Source organism: Homo sapiens, chromosome 5 (genome assembly GCF_000001405.40).
Source record: "Homo sapiens chromosome 5, GRCh38.p14 Primary Assembly".
Taxonomy (NCBI): Eukaryota; Metazoa; Chordata; class Mammalia; order Primates; family Hominidae; genus Homo; species Homo sapiens.
This window is the reverse complement of record NC_000005.10, coordinates 78,327,370-78,348,682: the sequence shown is the minus strand read 5'-3', so window position 1 is coordinate 78,348,682 and position 21,313 is coordinate 78,327,370. Positions and strand designations below refer to the sequence as shown.

The 21,313-nt window shown below is 39.7% G+C and overlaps 1 long non-coding RNA gene across 1 annotated transcript, besides 3 other annotated features; it reads left to right on the top strand.

The window, feature by feature from the left end:
* The first annotated feature begins 5,608 nt into the window (after nt 1-5,608).
* On the top strand, nt 5,609-6,353 carry LOC124901010 (uncharacterized). The gene is made up of 2 exons (XR_007058829.1): nt 5,609-5,814; nt 6,083-6,353. It is a non-coding gene; the product is annotated as an uncharacterized LOC124901010 (long non-coding RNA).
* Nucleotides 6,737-7,404: an enhancer, noted in NCBI's record as "OCT4-NANOG hESC enhancer chr5:77637103-77637770 (GRCh37/hg19 assembly coordinates)". NCBI's record gives its function as "activates a minimal SCP1, AML or CMV promoter by ChIP-STARR-seq in naive H9 embryonic stem cells {active_cell/tissue: H9 hESC(naive)}" and the evidence as "EXISTENCE:reporter gene assay evidence [ECO:0000049][PMID:30033119]".
* Nucleotides 19,682-19,826: an enhancer, noted in NCBI's record as "145 bp enhancer 287 fragment used in the MPRA reporter construct; PK_construct_3735". NCBI's record gives its function as "activates an SV40 promoter by MPRA in K562 cells {active_cell/tissue: K562}" and the evidence as "EXISTENCE:reporter gene assay evidence [ECO:0000049][PMID:23512712]".
* Nucleotides 19,749-19,759: a transcriptional cis regulatory region, noted in NCBI's record as "NFE2L2 motif; enhancer activity is reduced when this motif is scrambled". NCBI's record gives its function as "necessary for full MPRA enhancer 287 activity {active_cell/tissue: K562}" and the evidence as "EXISTENCE:site-directed mutagenesis evidence [ECO:0005528][PMID:23512712]".

Here is a 21,313-nt window from a genome sequence, read left to right as displayed (position 1 = left end):
AGCAGACATGGTTCCCTCCATTAACACCAGTGTGGATCTGTTCACACCTCATATTCTCCAGGGGTTTTAGCCAAGGCATTGGGCTCTGCTAGAAAATTGGTCTTCTACAAGGAGGTCTTTATTATTTTAGTTTTTTACAATGCTTTGATGAATGATAACTTTCCCTTTTGATGTTCCCTTTAAATTTTCAGTCCTTCTCTCATGTAATTTGGCACAAGTTCCCTTGGAAGCTTGGTTAGAAGACAGTAAAAAACCACCATGCTGTGTCACAAGCAAACTGTCCTTTCATCCCTCATCACAACCATTATCACTAAGCCAAGCCGGGGCACCTTGACATTCTCCCGCTTAAAAGCATCCTCCCTGATCAAGAAATGGTTTCAGAAGTGAAAGCATAGACCTGTTCCTATTTTTTGTTTTAAAAATTGCTTAGTCCTAGGACTGGGCATTAACTCCAACTTGTCACTGACTCTTCTAGAAGGCCCAGAAGGCCTCAGGCAGATATAACTAATCCGAATAACATGAGATATGCAAATTAGCCTCCTCTATATTATCCCATGGCTATATATATCTCATCTTGAGCTAAAGTTAAATAAATTGGAGGAGCTTATTTTTCAATGATCAATTTCAAATTTCTCCCTTTCTTTGGCTCCTGCAATTGGCCTATGGTCTTTCCTGGCAACTCTTACCCCAAAAATTAATTATCAGAGAACTCTGCTTATATCTTTATCATCTATAGAGATTATTTTCCAGCCTGGGCAACATGGTGAAACCCCATCGCTATAAAAAAAAATACAAACATTAGCTGTGCGTGATGGCTTGTGCCTATATTCCCAGCTACTTGTGAGGCTGAGGTGGGAGGATTGCTTGCATCCTGGAGGTGGAGGTTGCAGTGAGCTGTGTTTGCTCCACTGTACTCCAGCCTTGGCGATGAGACCCTGTCTCAAAAAAAAAAAAAAAGGCCGGACACAGTGGCTCACTCCTGTAATCCCAGCACTTGGGGAGGCCAAGGCGGGCAGATCACAAGGTCAGGAGATCGAGACCATCCTGGCTAACACAGTGAAACCCCGTCTCTACTAAAAAATAGAAAAAAATTAGCCAGGTGTGGTGGCAGGTGCCTGTAGTCCCAGCTACTCAGGAGGCTGAGGCAGGAGAATGGCGTGAACCTGGGAGGCAGTGAGCCGAGATCGTGCCACTGCACTCCAGCCTGGGTGACAGAGCGAGACTCTGCCTCCAAAAAAAAAAAATTTCTTGTAGTAGTAATCCTGTAAGTGGGTTCTGCCCAAAAGAAGGACCTTAGGTGCAAGGGACAAGAGATTTGGGTACAAATCATTAATTTGGATGATGTTCCCAGGAAGCCAGAGTGAGAGAGAGTGGAGAATGAGACAGGTAACAGGGAAAGACGATAAAAGCAGAATTGTTAAGCGGGTTACAACTGCGGGGTGAGGGAGGCTCAGTCCCAGGGGGATCTGCTGAGGAACCATGTAGAGTGTTTCTTAGAATTGGCCTTTGAAACATGAGGAACCAGGGGCATTTATCCACCAACTCTTGTCCTCATTGGTTCAGATTCCCCCCACCCTGCAATGTAAATTAAACACACACACACACACACACACACACACACACACACACACACACACACGGCAGTCAAGTAGCTTCAGGGAAAGCCATCACTATGCACTATTACTGTCTACTGCAGCTGTGGCCCAAGTCAGAGGTTACCAAAGGAATGTGATGTGGGGCACAAATGGTGTTTCTACAACACCTCTTGACACATCTCTGTCCCCCTTTAGATGATATATATCTCTGGAGCGCACACCACACCTGAATCATTTTCATATCCTTGACACCTAGCACAGCATCTGACAGAAGGTAGAAGCTGAATGACTGCAGGGGTGGATGGATGAAAGGATGGAATTAAAACTAAATAAATTTGGAGGGGCGTGGTGGCTCACTCCTGCAATCCCAACAGTTTGGGAAGCCGAGGTGGGCGGATCTCTTGAGGTCAGGAATTCGAGACCAGCCTGGCCAACATGCTGAAACCCCATCTCTACTAAAAATACAAAAATTAGTTGGGTGTGGTGGCACATGCCTGTAATCCCAGCTACTCAGGAGGCTGAGGTACAAGAATCGCTTGAACTCCAGAGGTGGAGGTTGCAGTGAGCCGAGATTGCGCCACTGCACTCCAGCCTGGGCAACAGAGCGAGATTCCATCTAAAAATAAAAATTAAAAATAATTAAAAAATGAATAAAACTAAATTTTTTCACATCAGATTTGCACTCACTTAACAGCATTTTTTCTAAACTCTTTTTATGATTTGCTCTGTTAACACAGTTTTTATCATATGCTCTAAATTTTTGCCATAATCCTATATTTTATCATAGTACATAAAAGTTTAAGATATTTCTTAAGAAAAATAAAACTTGTGTATACAAAGATACAACTACAAAAGAATTGTTTTCCCTTTGCCTACTTTGTGACGGCCTTTTCACCATAAAGGACACCAGAAGATCAGAGATTACAAAATAAGAGCAGAAAACATTTATTTTGTCTGGCAAGGTTCTGAAGAAATTAATCACATTAAATCACTCAATGGAGATTTAACGATGTGAAATTTTAAAAATTAATATTAACACAAAAATAATCAAGTTCAGTAATTTCCAAATAAATGGAGTGAGAGTCCCAGAACATTAGCTCAAGCTGAGAAGTTGAGAACTGAGACAAGTCTAAACATGTCAAGGTAGCCTGTAGACAGCCTCACCAGAGTGCAACTTTTAGACGGCCAACGACCACCATCTCAGGAGGGACAGTGAGAGATGTTGTCAGCCAGCCTCTAGGAAGGCTGTAGCCCTGAAGCCACTGGGGAACAGAAACTCACCCCTCATCCCCTCACAGGCAGTGTGCCTAATAGAGAAAGAGTTCAGCCCCAGAGGAGAGGATGGAGAGTCAGACTTGGTGTGTGGACAGAGGCTGAGATCTGAGAGGGAGGGCAGTTCTGAATGCAGAGTGATAATGCATCACTCAGATTGCCTTCCTGTCCAGCCCTCAGAAACTCGAGCCAAATTCCTAGGGAGAGAAAAGCCCTAATAGAGAGGAAGCTAAATAAAGAGCTATCATCACTAGAAGCCCGTGAAAAACTGAGAAGAAATAGCTCTGCCCCATGTGGGCGAAGAAATACCTCACTTGAGAATAAATAACTCTCAATGTTGGGAGAACAGAGAGAAGGGGTTAGGCTGAGCAGCAATAAGAGCAACATTAAGCACTTCTAGGTGGAAGAAGAGGGTGGTCAAGAAGGATTCTACAGAGAAAAGTAGTAACATCAAGAGGAGAAGGTGGAGGGGTACAGGCCACCAGCTAGGAAGCAAAGCTGAGATTAAAATAGCACAGTGCGGTAGCTCATGCCTGTAATCCCAGCACTTTGGGAGGCTGAGGCAGGTGGATTACCTGAGGTCAGGAGTTTGAGACCAGTCTGGCCAACTTGGTGAAACCCCGTCTCTACTAAAAATACAAAAATTAGCCAAGTATGGTGGCAGATGCCTGTAATTCCACTACTTGGGACGCTGAGGCAGGAGAATTGCTTGAACCTCGGAGGTGGAGGTTGCCGTGAGCCGAGATTGTACTACTGCACTCCAGCCTGGGTGACAAGAGTGAAACTCCGTCTCAAAAATAAAAATAAAAATAAAATAGCACAGTAGAGTGACTATCGTTAATAATAATTTATTGTATATTTCAAAATAACTTTGTGCTGTTCCCAGCACAAAGAAATGATGCATGTTTAAGGTGATGGGTAGATGGGTACCTTAGTTACCCTGATTTGATCATTATACATTATATGCATGTATCAAAATATCACATGTACCCCATAACTATGTACAATTATTATGTATCAATTTTTTTTTTAAATTTAGAGACAGAGTCTCACTGTGTTGCCCAGGCTGGAGTGCAGTGGCACGATCTTGGCTCACTGCAACCTCCACCTCCCAAGTTCAAGTGATTCTTGTGCCTCAGCCTCCTGAGTAGCTGGGATTACAGGTGTGCACCACCACGCCTGAGTAATTTTTCATATTTTCTGTACAGAGAGGATTTCACCATGTTGTCCAGGCTGGTCTCGCACTCCTGGCTCAGGCAATCTGCCTGCCCCTCGGCCTCCCAAAGTGTGTATCAATTTTTTAAAACATGAAAAAGAAGGAAAAAAACATACTTCATACTTTCTGGGTAGCAGACTCATAGAGGGCACCCTCTAATTCTCTAACCATGTGACTGCCCACCACAAGCCACATCATACTGACTAAGACAAGTTTCACTGACCCTAGACAACACAGATTTTTTGTTTCTTTCACAAGTGCAATGTTTCTGGAAAGTTGGTTCCATTAAACATACACAGGAGACTATTAGTTAAGGTTCTCCAGAGAGACAGAACCAAAAGGAATATAAATAGATAGATAGATAGATGATAGATAGATAGATAGATAGATAGATAGATAGATAGATAGATGATAGATAGTTGAGAGGGTTTATTACAAGAATTGGCTCACACAATTATGGTGGCTTAGACATCTCACAATAGTCCATCTGCAAGCTGGAGAACCAGAGAAACCAGTAGCATGGCTCAGTCCAAATCAGAAGACCTGAGAACTGAGGAACCTGAAGGAATAACTCTCAGTCCAAGGCCAAAGGCCCAAAAGCCCTGGGAAGCCACTGGTGCAAGTCCCAGCATCCAAAGGCTGAGGAACCTAGAGTTCTGATGTCCAAGGGCAGGAGAAGTGTATTGCCACACCACAAGAGAGAAAGAGAGAGAATGAGAGAATTTGCCTTTCACCTTTTTGTTCCATCTGGGCCTCTAGCTCATATTAAGGGTGAATCTTCCCCACTCAGTTCACCAACTCACATGCCAATCTCTTACCAAAAAAAATCCCTATAGACATACCCAGAAAGAATGCTTCATCGGCCATCCAGGCATCCCTCAATCCAGTCAAGTTGACATCTAAAATTAACCATCACAGAGGTGTAGTATTAAATATTTCTTAGTATTTGTCAAGATAAAGAAAACTATAAATAAAAAAGCTTATTTGACTTGATAATTAAATTTCATTTATATGTAAATGCATGTGTTTTGTCATATAAGCAACTGACATCTGTTAGACGATAGGTTCTGGATTACCTTACCAGCTTGCATCAATTTGAGAAAAAGATTTTGGAATGACATTCTGATGTATTACCCCAACAAAAAACAAAAAGCATTATTTCAGAAAAACAGAAAACTAAAGTCAAATGGTTAAATCAATAATGCAATATTCATATATGGACTATCACATAACCATTTAAATGATATTTTAAAAGAATCTGTAATAACATGAAAAAACAAATATGATAATGAATGGAAAAAGGTGCAATAAATAGTGTAAAGAGTAGAGATATGGCTTCATTTTAAAAAGCTAAAATTAAAAGATAAATGAGACAATGGGCTGGGTTCTTGTTTTTTTTGTTGTTTTTGTTTTTTTGTTTTTGCTCTAATTTCCACTATTTGCTAACCATTCATTACTTTCATGGCTAAAAAATAAGTTTAGGAGAAAGAATATGGCTTAGTTTTGACTTAATTGGTATGTAAAGAAAACAATTTTCATGGGGCTTAGAGTTGAAAAACTTGGCTTTATGGATCTAGAATAAACTGTTTTGACTGAAATAATTTTGTGCCTTGGCTTGTAAATCACCTTTTTCCTCCCTTGTGGTCTGAAACAGATATAAGAAAGATTGGAGAACTGTGTGCCTGGCAATTGCCTTGCTGAAAGGAAGCCCTCAGAAAAAGTTGTTTGATGGTATGCTAAGCCCATTACTACTGGCTCTTTTCCCAAAATAAAACAAAACAAACAAAATTAGAGGTTTAAATTCAACCCTACCAAGGACAGTCTCTAAATATCATCCTTGTTCTTACCAGTAGTATTTGCTCTTGAATGTCATAGGGCTAAACATTGGTAGTGGCATTAATTATATTAAATCTGTGATTAATTTATTTTTAATCAATGGATACAAAATGCTTCTGGAAGGTCATCTATGTCATAACTAATAGGATTGTCTTTGTTTAAGGTGAGAGCTGGCCAAGCCAGAAAGACAAACCAAGCGACTTTGAGTGGGGGCTTTGTGTCACAAGGCATCAGTAGACCTGGAGACTGAGTTCAGGCAATCAATCAATCAATCAATCAATCAGGCCTACAGAATGAAACTCCAACTAAAAACTGTGGACACCAAAGCTCAGCTGATTTCCTGGTTGGCAATACTCCATGCATATTGTCACACATCAATGCCAGCTGGTCAGTGGTAGAGGACAATAAAAGTTTTCACACTTGGAACCTTCTCAGACTGTGTCCTTTTTGTCTCTTCCTTTGGCTAATTTTCATTCACATTATTTCCCTGTGATAAACTGTAACCATAAGTATAATAGCTTTCAGCGACTTCTATGAATCCTTCTAGCAAACTATCAAACCTGAAGGTGGTTTTGGAACCTCCCGAACTTTCAGTTAACTTTGGAAGTGGGAGCACTCTTGGGGACTGTGTCCTCAAACTTTGTAGTTTGACTAACTCCAGGCACATAGATAATTTAAATGTGGCCAAATTTGGTCCTCAGGCCATAGTTTGCTAACCCTGTTCTAGCTCATTAAAATAGCCATACAGCATCAATTTACATATAATTTGTTGTGACTCATGTAAAATTCATAATTGCGTGCAAACAAGCAGTAATATTCTACCACTCTGCAATTGTCAAAATGTGCAGATATTGTATGTATACAAAGAGTAATTGAACTGCAACATTTTTGTGACAAAGCTGATGCTGAACAATATATATAATATCATATTTTAATATTATATAATTTATTTTACATATTATATACGTTTTATGTGTATATATAATATATATAGTATCTGCACTCCCCTCTTTGCTGCCCATCTCTAATTAGGTTTCTAAAACATGCCTTTGAAGAACTACAGTACTTTGTAAATCAAATTGTTTCCCACAGTGCTATTGTAGTAAGCAAATAATCCGCTCAGCATGTGTTTAGGAGTATTAAGCAACATAATAGGAATCCTGACATGCCAAAAAAATCACAGAAAGCCCTGGATTATTAACAATCTTGAGTGTTCTAGAATTTTCCTAGGAAACAGGAGGAATTTGTACCTTTGATCCATAAACGGAGACTCCAAACAACATCTGCTTTTGACATTTAAACATTAGTCTACATGTCTTGATGGCCAGCAAGTCCCTCCAATCTTGTCAAAGACATTATAGGAAAAAGTCATATGGGCAGCAGGCTGCATTCATTTTAATTGTGGTTTTCTTTTGGTGTAGCAAAAGTCAATGTTCTGTTCTTGTCATATTCTTTCTCAATATTAGACATTTTCAAAAAGGTAATGATCTTGTAATTTTATTATAGTTATCAACCATGGGTAATTTATTCCTTCAAATGAATTTTCTATGGCATTAATAAGTCTAAAGTACTGCAAGCTACTACCATTTAATTGCCAAGTTATTCTAGCTGGCATGAGTGACTCTTTCTACGTGACTGACTTACTCTAACTAAAATATCTACTGGACAGATAGCCAATCCCTCCTATAATATTAGAATATCTGCCCATCCCTTAACCAATTTCCTCCCCTTGGAATATTATGGAGAGGCTGTTTCACATCGGCAATAACATCCACTTGCACTTTAGCTATTGCCTGGCATATGACAAATACTCTCCACTTAGCCATGATGCCCACTCAATTTTCTGACAACTACTATTAAGTTGACTTCAGGGGAGAGGGAAGAATGGGGGAAACTCACACTCCTACGTGATTCTGTTTTAGCTATGAAAACAGGCCCATTCCTTAGAGCTACACAACTTAGATAACAATCGACAGCAGGACTTAAAATTTTACTTGAAAATATTAAAGGGGAATTAAAAGATACAAAAGAAAAAATATAAAATGGAAATTTAGATATTTGTCCTAGAGTCGATTAGCCATTGCCTTGCACTGAGATCCCCTCAACCATTTCTCTTTTTTGCCTTTAGTATGTCACAAGTGACCAATGCCATCTTATCTTTCACAGTCATGAATCTTTATCATGTTCTTCTTACCCGGTCAGGGCCCACTACCACCAACCAAGAGAGAGGATGAAGTCCTCTCTTCTCCTAGTTCAAGGCCTTCTTTATTTCTTCCTCCAAAAAATTGACAATGGGTCTACCATTTTCTTTGAGATTTCCCCACCTTCATTCCCAGGGATCCTTTGTTCTCCATAACCTATACAAAGTAAACCCAGTAGTTGACAGTACATTTCCCAAACTTGGGCTCATTCAATTATAAATGGCATCATATGTGAGACATTAACCATCCAGCCTGTGGTAAGCAGCCATGGTCCAGGGCAGTTTCATTTCAGTCTTTCTTTCAGTATGCAGTGAGGAGGAAATTAGACCTACGTGTTCCCTCTGGCCTGGTCCTAGTCTCATGATTTCCTGTGAGGAAATAACTGAATAAAAAGGGACTCATCTCTCAGAAACAATTATTTTTGAATTAGTAGAATGATTTTTTTCCCATTAACTCTGTAGTGCCTTCATTCTAGAAAGACATAATGCAATTTATTTGTCAAACAAAATTTAATAACTCAATCACAAACATCTGCTTTCCATTTGGTGTGTCCATAAGAAAAATGGCAAGGTACTTGCTTAAAGCAATATGATTTTAAAAGTTCACCAAAGTACCCAGACTCAGGAAAAAGAGGAAGGTGACTCCAGATTCAAGCACAAATTTCAAATTCTATGCATGCAAAAGCTGCTTACCGCCTTCCCACACGGTTTTCAAGTTTCAACAGTTTCCCTGAGGCACCAGTTGCACTGGTGTGTGATTATGTCCCTGCTGAGCCTCGGTTGGCTGAATTCTCTAGTGGCTTGGTTGTCCAGAAGGTCAGTTAGTGCTACGGAGAATCCAAAGTCCAGAAACCCTGGTTATAGTAAGGAACATGTTTATGTTTTCTATTTCAAATAGTACATACTTCTTTCCTAACAATATTCTATTTAATTTATTCTGCTTAAAAATGCTCATAACACACTTTCACCATAGAGATGGCTGAAAATACAGCCACATTGATATTGTACAGATTAGTAAAACGACATATGTGTAAATGAAGCAGACATATTATTAAGTGGAAACTATTGAAAATTAAGCACTATTATATTTGGAGAGCAATTATAGTAGTGTAGACTATGTAAGGCCCTCAATGTGGTCCAGTTTGTCTATGAAAGAGCTTCTTGGACCATAATATGTCTATTTTTTTAGTCATTATAAAGAAACATTGTCAAGACCAACACCATAAAATATAATTTTTTAAAAAGCACTTTTGGGGGTTTATAGATTAGTTTTCTCTTTTGTAATTCATTTAGGTCTACAACTTTTATTACTTAAAGTTTTTCTTTTTTGAGACAGGGTCTCACTCCTTTGGCCAGGCTGGAGTGCAATGGTATGATCACAGCTCACTGCAGCCTCAACTTTCAAGATTGAGGTGATTCTCCCACCTCAGCCTGCCAGGTAGTTGGGACTACAGGTGTGTGCCACCATGCCTGGCTAATTTTCTGTATTTTTTGTAGAGATGGGGTTTTACCATACTGTCCAGGCTGGGCTTGAACTCCTGGGCTCAAAGTGCTGGGATTACAGGCATAAGCCACCCTGTCTGGCCTAATTTTTTTAATTTTGCAATTTTTTTCACATTCTTAAGACGATGCTTAGATTTTAATTTTTTAAATAATAAAAGCATTTGCATCTATAAATTGGCCTCTAAACATAGGAACAGTTTCATGTGTTTTATTATCATTAATGTTCAGATGATCCGTAATTTCCAGTTTAATCTTCTTTTTTTCTGACCCAATAGTTATTTAAAAGAGTGTTTTTTTATTTTAAAGTGGTAAATTTAGTGCATTTTGAGATCTGAAAATGTAGCTGATATAAATTAGACCTTCTACAATATTTTGTTTTTGGCTTACAATATAATTTTTTTGGAAACCTTCGTGTCAGTGTGAAAAAGATAATTATTCACTGTTTACATGGTACATATATGATTTTTAAATAACATACCATGTATTACTCATGCTCAATGGGCTCAACACAGATTTGAATTGGTAGAGGAATGAAGAATTAATCAGTGAATTGAAGAAATGAATCGATTGAGATTACCCAGTCTAAGGAATGAAAAAGAGAGAGAGAGAAGGAAGTAAAATGAATAGATCCTGAGATACCTATGGACACCATCAAACATACCAACTTACACTTAATGAGAGTCTTTAAAAGATAGAAAAAAAGAAATACAAAAAATAACAAAAACCTAACCAAATTTGTTGAAAAACGTTAATCTACACACCCAAGAAGTGCAATAAAATCCAAGTAGAATAAGCTCAAAGAGATCTAAACCTAGACACATCATAGGCAAATTGTCAAAAGACAAAGAGAGAAACTAGAAAGCAGCAAGGGAAAAAGTGACTCATCAAGTACAAGGAATACTCAATATAATGTACAGTTTACTTCTCATCAGAAACTATGGATGCCAGAAGGCAGTGGGATGACAGATTCAAGATGCTGAAAGACAGACTGTCAAACAAGAATTCCAGTGGCTCACGCCTGTAATCCCAGCACTTAGGGAGGCCAAGGGTGGGTGGATCACTAGAGGTCAGGAGTTCAAGGCCAGCCTGGCCAACATGGTGAAACCCCATCTCTAATTAGCTGGGCATGGTTGCGGGTACCTGTAATCCCAGCTACCCGAGAGGCTGAGGCACAAGAATCACTTGAACCTGGGAGGTAGAGGTTGCAGTGAGCCAAGATCGCACCATTGCACTCCAGCACCACTGCACTCCAACCTGCATGATAGTGCAAGACTCCATTTCAAAAAAAAAAAAAAAAAAAGACTGTTGACTAAGAATTCTATGTCCAGCAAAACTATTCTTTAAAAATGAGGGCCAGGCGTGGTGGCTCATGCCTGTAATCCCAGCACTTTGGGAGGCTGAGGTGGGTGAATCATGAGGTCAAGAGATTGAAACCATCCTGGCCAACATGGTGAAACTCTGTCTCTACTAAAAATACAAAAATTACCTAGGCGTGATGGTGCATGCCTGTAGTCCCAGCTAGTCAGAGACTGAGGCAGGAGAATCGCTTGAACCTGGGAGGTGGAGCTTGCAGTGAGCCAAGATCGTGCCACTGCACTCCAGCCTGGTGACAGAGTGAGACTCCATCTCAAAAAAAGAGGAATATTTCTATATACAAAAAGGGAAAACAGAATGAAAAGGATGAAATTAACCTGCTCAATGGCTATATGGCTGTTTTTCTCCAAGTTACTCCATCACTGGTATTAACTTATGTAAGACACACTTTCAGACTTTTTGTTTTCTTAAGACATTTAGCTCTCTGTGGTAGATACGAAGATTCCCTGCACAGATGCCTCTTCAAGGACTTGATGCCCGGCAATGGGCAGGCAGTCAGCAGATGTCTTTAGTGATGAGCTTTTTCCAGAGAACTGCTTTGCCCAAAACCTTCCTCTTCCTACGGCTGTGTGCATCTGATGACTATGTGAGGGTGTAATAAAGCCTTGGCCACTTGATACTATTCTCTCAACATTCTGTGCCAGATCAGATGAGGCTTTTCGAATCTGCATAGCAGCTCTACTTCTCCTTTCACCCAGTCCCACATCCTTCCCTTCCCTTTCTCTTCTTTCTTTTTCTTTCTTTCTTCCTTTCTTTCTTCTTTCTTTCTCTTTCTTTCTTTCCTTTCTTTCTTTCTCTTTTTCTTTCTTTCTTTCTCTCTCTCTGTCTTCTTTCCTTCTTTCTTTCTTTCTCTTCTTTTTTTTTTTTTTGACACCGTCTTGCTCTGTCACCCAAGATGAAGTGCAGTGGCACAATCTCAGTTCACTGCAACCTCTGCCTCCCAGGTTCAAGTGATCCTCCTACCTCAGGCTGTCAAATAGCTGGGACTACAGGTGCCCACTACCACACATGGCTAATTTTTGTTGTTGTTTTTTTTTGTAGAGACAGGGTTTCATCATGTTGCCCAGGCTGGTCTCGAACTCCTGGACTCAGGCAATCAGCCCACCTTGGCTTCCCAAAGTGCTAGGATTACAGGTGTGAGCCACCACACCTGGTCCCTTCCCTTACTTTTCGTAAGTGTTGATTCCTAATAAAACATCTAGCTTCCAAAGCTCTGCCTTGCTCTTTGCTTCTAGAGAACTAAACCTGTAACACAATCGTTGTCTTTTACCTTCAGGCACAAGGGAAAGACAGAAGGCCAATAATCTTGTTCTGTTCAACAAAGATAATTTATAAGTATTTATGTCTTCTAGAAAACAGGGATGTCAATTTAAGTTTTTATTACCAGGGGAACACATTATTATTATAAACACCAGTTTACAACCTGTTAAGGACTAGGAATTGCTTTCACAGGCCATAGCAACAATCTCTGATCTCCAGATGTCTAACAGGGAGTGTAGCCAACCAGAGTCAGCAACCGACTGCCCAGCCCAGCCTCTTGTTTTATAAATACAGCTTTATTGGAACACAGCTATCCACATTGGTACACATATCGTCTATGTCTGCTTTCACACTACAACACCAGAGCTGAGTAGTCTCAGTAGAGACCATACAGCCTGCAAGCCAAAAATATTTACTATCTGATCTTTTAAGAAAAAAGTTGCATTATGTCTTTCTAGAATGAGGGCACTACGGAGTTAAAGGGAAAAAAAATCTACTAATTCAAAAATAATTTATTCATTAATTTCTTCGACTAATAGTTACTATAGGTAAATCACAGCTTGACATTTGGCACAAGACTTTTGAAATGTTTAAAAATAATACACATAATTGTTTTTAACAGTTTTTCTGTACCTACTAGTAGTGACTGAGCTTTTAGTCTGGGCAAAGCAGGTTGCCATATACCATTCTCAAGAGTGTGTGTGCCTTCCATGAAACAGGGTTAGAAAATATGTGAAGTTGTTGATTTGATGTGTGACCACGCTGCTTCAGTCCTATGTCACATCTCTCTGGCATTGTTATCTTTGGATCTTTGGGAAAGTGCTAATCCACCATGTATAATGATCATACTTTTTCTTTTCCTTTCTTTTCCCTTTTTTTTTTTTTTTTTGAGACAGAGTATCACTCTGTCACCCAGGCTGGAGTGCAGTGATGCAATCCCAGCTCACCACAACCTCCGCCTCCCCAGATCAAGCAATTCTCCTGCCTCGGCCTCCCAAGTAGCTGGAGCCACTGGCGCCCACCACCACACCTGGGTAATTTTTGTATTTTTAGTAGAGACGGGATTTTACCATGTTGGCCAGGCTGATCTTGAACGCCTGACCTCAAGTGATCCACCCACCTCAGCCTCCCACAGTGCTGGGATTACAGGCATAAGTCACCACACCCAGCCAATGATCATACTTTTTCATGTTATACCTTCTTTTCCCAAAACCTATTTATATACCAGTAAATCAAACTGTGCTACGACAGTGCTTTTACATTTGATTCTGATTCCACATAATAATTTCCCATTTGAAACAACAATTATTTTATCAAGAAGAAACAGCTGCAAACACAGCAATTCCTCTGAACTACCATTAACTGAATGTTCCCTGCTGTCAAGCCAGATGCTTAGCAGTGAGTACTGAGCTTTCTCTTTAAACGTGCAGGAAGCAGGGAGATGAGTTGGCTGGCTGCACGGCCCTGTGGTGGGAGTCCTGGGCCCAGCCCCTCTGCTGTGCACTGCAGAACTAGAGACAGAATGCCCTTCTCATCACTCCCTGCCTTTGACCCTATTCTTCCTGGACCTCCTGCCCCAACTTCTTCAGTAAGTTCTCTGAAGCCAGTTGCATCATTTGAGTTCTATTGTCCATATCTAGTATTCCAGAAAATTGTACTGTTATAAAAATTTAACAGGGTCAAAATTATTAATGCCTGTGTGTTCACAGCTTCTTTCCCTCTCCCTTCAAGCTAAGTGAAATTATGGAGTTGCTCATCCTCTAGGTATTTTTCCATTTACCTTTCTCATGGGCCTTATTAGAGAGACAGGGGCGGGGGAAGAAAGTCTTGAGCAGCCAACACTGGGTTGTGGTGGCAGTTTTAGGTTAGTAGTTGACAGTGAGGAGAGGGACTTTTCAGGAGTAACTACATCCATATAAAAAATAATTGAGAATGCAGAGGTAGTAGGCAGAAGATTTTTCAATATGTTAGCTGTGCCTGCAGAAAATAATGAGATTTATGAAGATAAAAATAACAGGTAAATGTTTTGAGCTAGGGGAGGAAGGGGATGGAGAGATGAGTAGGAGTGCGAGGATGTTAATGCTTTTATCTTTCAAAGTAAGGAGTCACTGATGATACATACAATCAAAACGTGGCTTTATAAAAAGTGCAACAATGCAGTCTTTTCATATTTTGGAGTATTTAGAATTCTTCAGGAAATAATGTATCTTGTGGTGATAGAGGAATATTTATTTGAAATTCAGCCATTCCTTCAATTTCTCTTCTATTAAATTCAAGTAAGTTTAATTTTAAGATGTTTATATAAATGGCATGACCCCATGCTTATAAAGGTATTCTTTCTATCTGTATGTATGCTTAGAAGAATGTGTATATATACACAGTATAAAGCTAATGTATATTATTCTAAAGCTAATCATGGTCATTTCTGGGTGGTAGATTTGAGGTGATTTTCAAACTTTTATTTTTGTGCAGTTCTGTTGTTTGAATTCCTGTAAGTCATTCAATAAACTAATTTTTCTTTTAAAAATGTGAAAAATATGCCAATATAATAGTGGTTTGTTTGAGATGGTGTGAATATGGATGATAATGACGATGATATTGATGATTTTTGAGACAGGGTCTCACTATGTTGCCCAGACTGGAGTGCAGTGGCTAATCACAAGCTTTACCATGGCACACTACAGCCTGAAATTCCTTGGCTCAAGTGAGCCTCCTGCCTCTTCTTCCTGAATAGCTGGGACTACAGGCACATGGCAATTATTATTTTTCTTTGTGCTTTTCTGTATTTTCTAACTTTCTAACAATAAAAATTATAAAATAAAATAATACAAATATACAACATCGCTATTATGCTTTCCATGTTAATATTTTTTTATTCCATGGCAGCTTTATGAAGATATTAATAGTAAAGCATGTTTTTTCATAGGATGTTTCAACCAAAACTCTTTTTTACAGACATGCATAAAAAGTACCATGGACCAAGATAAATCATTATTTGTCTAAAGATTAGCATAGGCAGACTTAAATAGCAGCAATAATTCCTGTGTCTAAGAAAAAAACTCCAAGGAGGGCACACTTGGTCCAGTTAGGGCCAAGTTAGGGGATTTCAGAACGCCCATGAAAATTACCAGCAATCAAAGAAAGGATGAATAATAAGTGACTAACAGAATCAAATATCTAACGTGTAATACGTACAAGTAACCATTTTCAAGCCTCAGGACTCTATTCTATAAAATAGACATAATGATTTCTTTCTAGATTAAGTAACATTAGGAGGTTGAGAGCATGCTGCATGGTTAAATTCAGGTTCTCAAGATAGGTGTGTTATTATTCAAGAACAGTACTCTTATGAGCAGTAGACACTTCGAGATCTTTATCAAACATGGTTCAGGATCTACTGTCTTCCATGAATTAACATTCTGTATTGTCAATATATTATTTCCAAAACATAATGTAAATGTATGCAAAAGGAAATATAAATACATAAATAGAAAAAAACCCTCAGTTTTCTTTATATTCTCCTCTACTCTTTTCTTTCTTTACTCATTAAAAAATCTTTCTCAGGCCAGGCATGGCGGCTCACGCCTGTAATCCTAGCACTTTGGGAGGCCAAGGCGGGCAGATCACAAGGTCAGGAGCTCGAGACCAGCCTGGCCAACGTGGTGAAACCCCGTCTCTGCTAAGGATAAAAAAAAATTAGCCGGGCATGGTGGTGCACGCCTATAATCCCAGCTACTCAGGAGGCTGAGGCAAGAGAATCACTTGAACCCAGGAGGCAGAGGTTGCAGTGAGCTGAGATCATGCCATTGCACTCCAGCCTGGGTGACAGGGCAAGACTCCATCTCAAAAAATAAATAAATAAATAAATAAAAATCTTTCTCTTTTCTCATTTTTCCATTATTTTTTCCTTGCAGATTCATTTATTTCTAGCTTTTTTTTTTCTTTTTTTTTTAGATGGAGTCTTGCTCTGTCACCCAGGCTGGAGTGTAATGGCATGATCTCCACTCACCACAACCTCCACTTTCTGGGTTCGAGTGATTCTCCTGCCTCAGCTTCCCGAGTAGCTGGGATTACAGGCATGTGCCACCACATCTGCCTAATTTTTTTAGTAGAGAGGGGTTTCCCCATGTTGGCCAGGCTGGTTTCAAACTCCTGACCTTCGTGATCCACCCTCTTTGGCCTCCCAAAGTGCTGGTATTACAGGCGTGAGCCACCATGCCCGGCCTTATTTCTAGCTATTTTTAACCAGTATCTTTCTCTTAAGTAAATGTGCACTTTTTTCTGATTTTCTTTTAAATATTCATCTCTGTAGAAACCTCACTAAAATTAAACATAATTAGTTTAAATGCAACCTCTGTGTAACATTATTTGCTAGAGTGAGAGATTCCTGGAGAACCATCCACTCCAATACTGTCTAGATGGAAAACTGACTCTCAGATTGGCTTTCTATCCTCCACTCCTCACAGACATTCTACAAGCAGTGCTGTGGCTTCTGTCTCCCTCCCCTCTCTCATAGCCTCCCCCTTACACACCCAGTACCACTGCCCTCCTTCAGTGAACTGCCATTCTTGCAAATGTGCTCTCCTCTTGTCCAGTCTCTGTGCTCTCTCACAGCTGCAAGATGAAGTTTTTCAAAAGCTAATCTGGCCTTTTTGCAGCCTTGTTTTAAAATCCTTGAATAGCTCTCCATTATCTACAGGGTAAAGTCCAAGCAACTGGTACAATAAGTCCTTTATTATGGGACACCTATCTATTTCTCTAATCCCCATTAGTCTTGAAATCACCCTCTCATCCCCTGTATTCAGCAATTTCAGTCCCCCTATAACACACTGGCACTGTGCAATTAACAGATCTAGGTCTTTGCTTGTATTTTTCCCTCTGCCAACCACCAATCAATTCATATTTTAAGTTTAGTTTTAGGCTGGGCGTGGTGGCTTATGCCTGTAATCCCAGCCCTTTGGGAGCTCAAGGCAGGCAGATCACCTAAGGGCCAGGAGTTGGGGACCAGGCTGGCCAACACGGTTAAACCCCGTCTCTACTAAAAATACAAAAATTAGCCAGGTGTGGTGGCACACACCTGTAATCCCAGCTACTTGGGAGACTGAGGCAGGAGAATCACTTGAACCCAGGAGGTGGAGGTTGCAGTGAGCCAAGATCGTGCCACTGCACTCCAGCCTGGGTGACAGAGTAAGACCGTTTCTCAAAAAAAAAAAAAAAAGATAGTTTCAAACGAATGTATGAAGGATGTTTCATCTCACCAGAAGTAAGGGAAGTAGAAACTAAAACAATACATTTTCCACTATCTGACCATCAAAATGTTCAACAATTGACAACATTCTCACCGGGTAAAAGTGTAGAGAAACAGGCACTCTTCTACCAAATTGGTGGAAGTACATATCGCTACATGGGTTTTGGAGGACAGTGTGACAGCATTTATCATAATTTTAATTTAATAATTCCACTCAGGTATATAGTCTACAGACATACACATGTACATAAATATGTCTGTAGGTATTCATTTCAGTATTTATAATAGTGCAAATTTGGGAGAAAATTCTAAATTTTTATCCATAGGGAATTGGCTAAAAAAAAAAAAAGATATTTCCAACTCCTGGATTTTGATATAGAAGAACTGTAATGAAACAATCCCTATGATAAACTGTGAAGTGAAATAAAAAACTGAAAACAGTATTTATTTTATGGTTTGTATATAATTAATATGAATATATATACATAAATACACAAAGGCATATATATATGAACACAGGTAGATATACAGAAAAAGTTCTGCACACATACAAAGTGTTAAAAGTACTACCTCGAAGTAGAAGAATAACGGGAGCAGGGTAAAGAAAGACTTCCACTATTTATATACTTCTGTATTTCAATATTTTACATAATTAAGATGCATTCATACATAACTGGTTAAGAAAATATGTACACCTTTTATTATTATTATTATTATGTTTGAGACGGAGTCTCGCTCTGTCACCCAGGCTGGAGTGCAATGGTGTGATCTCAGCTCACTGCAATCTCCGCCTCCTGGGTTCAAGTGATTCTCCTGCCTCAGCCTCCTGAGTAGCTGGGATTACAGGCACGCACCACCACACCCAGCTAATTTTTGTATTTTTAGTAGAGACAGGGTTTCACCACGTTGGCCAGGCTGGTCTCGAACTCCTGACCTCAAGTGATCTGCCCGCCTCAGCCTCCCAAAGTGCAGGGGTTACAGGCTATACACCACTTTTTAAAGTTTTGAGCAAGGTTTAGCCCAATCAGAAGTGAGAGAAGGGTGTTGTAGGAAGCGGGAACAGAATGAATAAAGGAGACAAAAGAACAAAGCTCCAGCACTTCCTCCTCTGCAGAGCTTCCTCCCCATGCTCGTCCATTCGTCCATTCCTCCATTCACTGCTACTGCCCTGGGCCCCACCAAATCCTGTAGGTACTCCTAACGCAGAAGCTATAACAATTAATGGCACTTATCTATTTACAAATATGACTCCTCCAACCAGACTGTAAGCTACTTGTAACCCTAGCTCCTAGGACACTGCCATGGAAAGAAAAGGCGGGCATCCGGGAAATTGATAAATGAGCAAATAAATTAATGGATGTATAGTAGATGGATGGATATAGAGTCTTCATTAGAAAAGTTTGGTTGTTAAAGTGCAAAATAATTCCAATATACAGCACTTTTCCCCCCTTGTGTTGGGGGTAACGATAAATAGCACAGTTTTCAATGACTTGGTGGTCAAAAATATTCTGGGCTAACACCAGCCTAAACCTCTGTAATATTTAGTCACATGAATTCAAAAGGAGCGACACTCTAATGAAGACTCAAATATGACATTAAACACAAGCACTGATGACATACTAAAACAAAGTATGGACTTGTGAATTCATGTAGCCTTTAATGTGCTTTTTACATCATTTATTGCTGCTTCCACCACTCCATTATACGGAGAACGACTCTCTAAATTGCACTTACATGTTCTCAAAGCTATACTGAAATTGTAGTACAAATGCTTTAATATTAAACATCTGAAATTTTATTTTCCGAAAGTGTTTTTTGCTCACTTAATTAGTTTAACCAATGAGGCTAATTACCACTTGGTTTTCATTATAATTTTGATAATTATTGTCCTGAAGTTTTCCTCCCAGGCACATAGTATGTGCTGGTTTCATTATTCATTTCCTAATACCCCTTGAGATAAATTTACAAATGATTTACATCTGGAAATCCTTTATGTACTTTTTAACAAGTGATAGTTTTTTAACCCCTAAACCTCAAGAAAACCACCTCAGAAAGATCTTTACTGGCTACACGCTGTGCTTCTCTAAGAGCTATTGTCACCACAATAGGGTAAGTATTTCACATGCTATTAAGTGAAAAAACAGACATAGGATTTGTATGTTAAAATAGTCCCACCTCTCTTCTAATTGTGAAAACTTTGTTGTGTGGGAAGATGGTATTTTAAGGAGTTATGTTGTAGTCAAGATGAGTCAGCATGTTTTGGTTGTTACCATTTATGGGGCAACTGTGAGTCCAGGCAGTGGCTTGTCGCCTCGCTTGGTGCTTTCTCTGGGAGTATTCAGGCAACTGGGAAGATTAAATTCAAATACTACTTTGTTCACAAGAGAATTACCTCCATTTGAAAGCTGTTCACTGATTTTGAATGTTAGGTATTTGTGTTAGGAGTGATTTTGGGGAAATTTCCCCCTAGTGTGAGCTCCAGGGTGGACACGGCGGGTGGAATGGGTTAGGAACAGTTTGGTCAGCTCAAGGGCCAGTCTCAAAGGGGCTCAGGACCCAACTATATTGTGTATGTATACAAATTCTTTGTAAAGATTTTAATTTTGTTGGCCCTTTGGAGAAAGGGGAGGCCGGAAAAAGTGTTTTCACTCTAGGCAGTAGGAACTGGCTCTTGGCAACACTGTGCAGTTCAAATCTTTCTTCTTCAGTAAGGTCTATCCCAATTATACTCCATCTTCATTACTTGATGATGCACTCTTGTGACATTTGAGACACGGGTGAAGGTGATAGCTTTGAATAAGAGGGAAGAAAGGAAAGATGAGTAAAAATATAGGTGACTTTGTTGTAGTCAAGATGAGTCAGCATGTTTTGGTTGTTACCATTTATGGGGCAACTGTGAGTCCAGGCAGTGGCTTGTCGCCTCGCTTGGTGCTTTCTCTGGGAGTATTCAGGCAACTGGGAAGACTAAATTCACCTATATTTTTACTCATCTTTCCTTTCTTCCCTCTTATTCAAAGCTATCACCTTCACCCATGTCTCAATTTTAGGAGGAAAGGTAGAAAGAGGGAGACTAGTTACGGGGCGGTGCAGTCATCCAGGTCAGGAGTTGGCAAACTATGGCCTGCTGGCCAAATCTGGCCCAATGCCTGTTTTTGTAAATCAAGATTTACTGGAACACAGCCACACCTATTCATTTAAGTAATGTCTGTGGCTGCTTCAGGCCTGCAAGAACAGAGTTGAGTGGTTGCAACAGAGACTCTATAGTCTGCAAAGCCTAAAATATTTACTATCTGGCCCTTTACAGATAAAACTTGCTCATCCAGATGAGTAACCCAGGTGAGAGAGGATGGCAAATTGTATTTGATTAGTAGTGGCAGTGGGGCGAGGAGTGATCAAATTCCAGACAAATGTTGTAAGTAAGGTCTACTGGATTTGCTAATGGATTGGACATGAAACACAAAGGAAGGAGAAGACACAAGAATGACTGAGGTTTTGGCCTGAGCAACTGGGAAGAATAGATTTTGTCATTTGCTACCATGGGAAAAGGCTGTGGAAAAAAGTTGGTTGAGGTAGTAGATAATAAAGTGTTTAGTTTTGTAAATGTTTGGGCATAAATTTGAGATGCCTATTTAGACACTTACATGGAGATATCAAATAGGTAGCTGGATATATAAGAGAAGATTTCAAGGGAGGTGTCAGGGCTAGAAATATCAATTTGAAAGTTGTCAGTTTATAGATGTTATTTAAAACCATGTGATGGAATGAGATAATTTAGTAATGGACTGCAATGACAGAAGAAGACTGAAGAC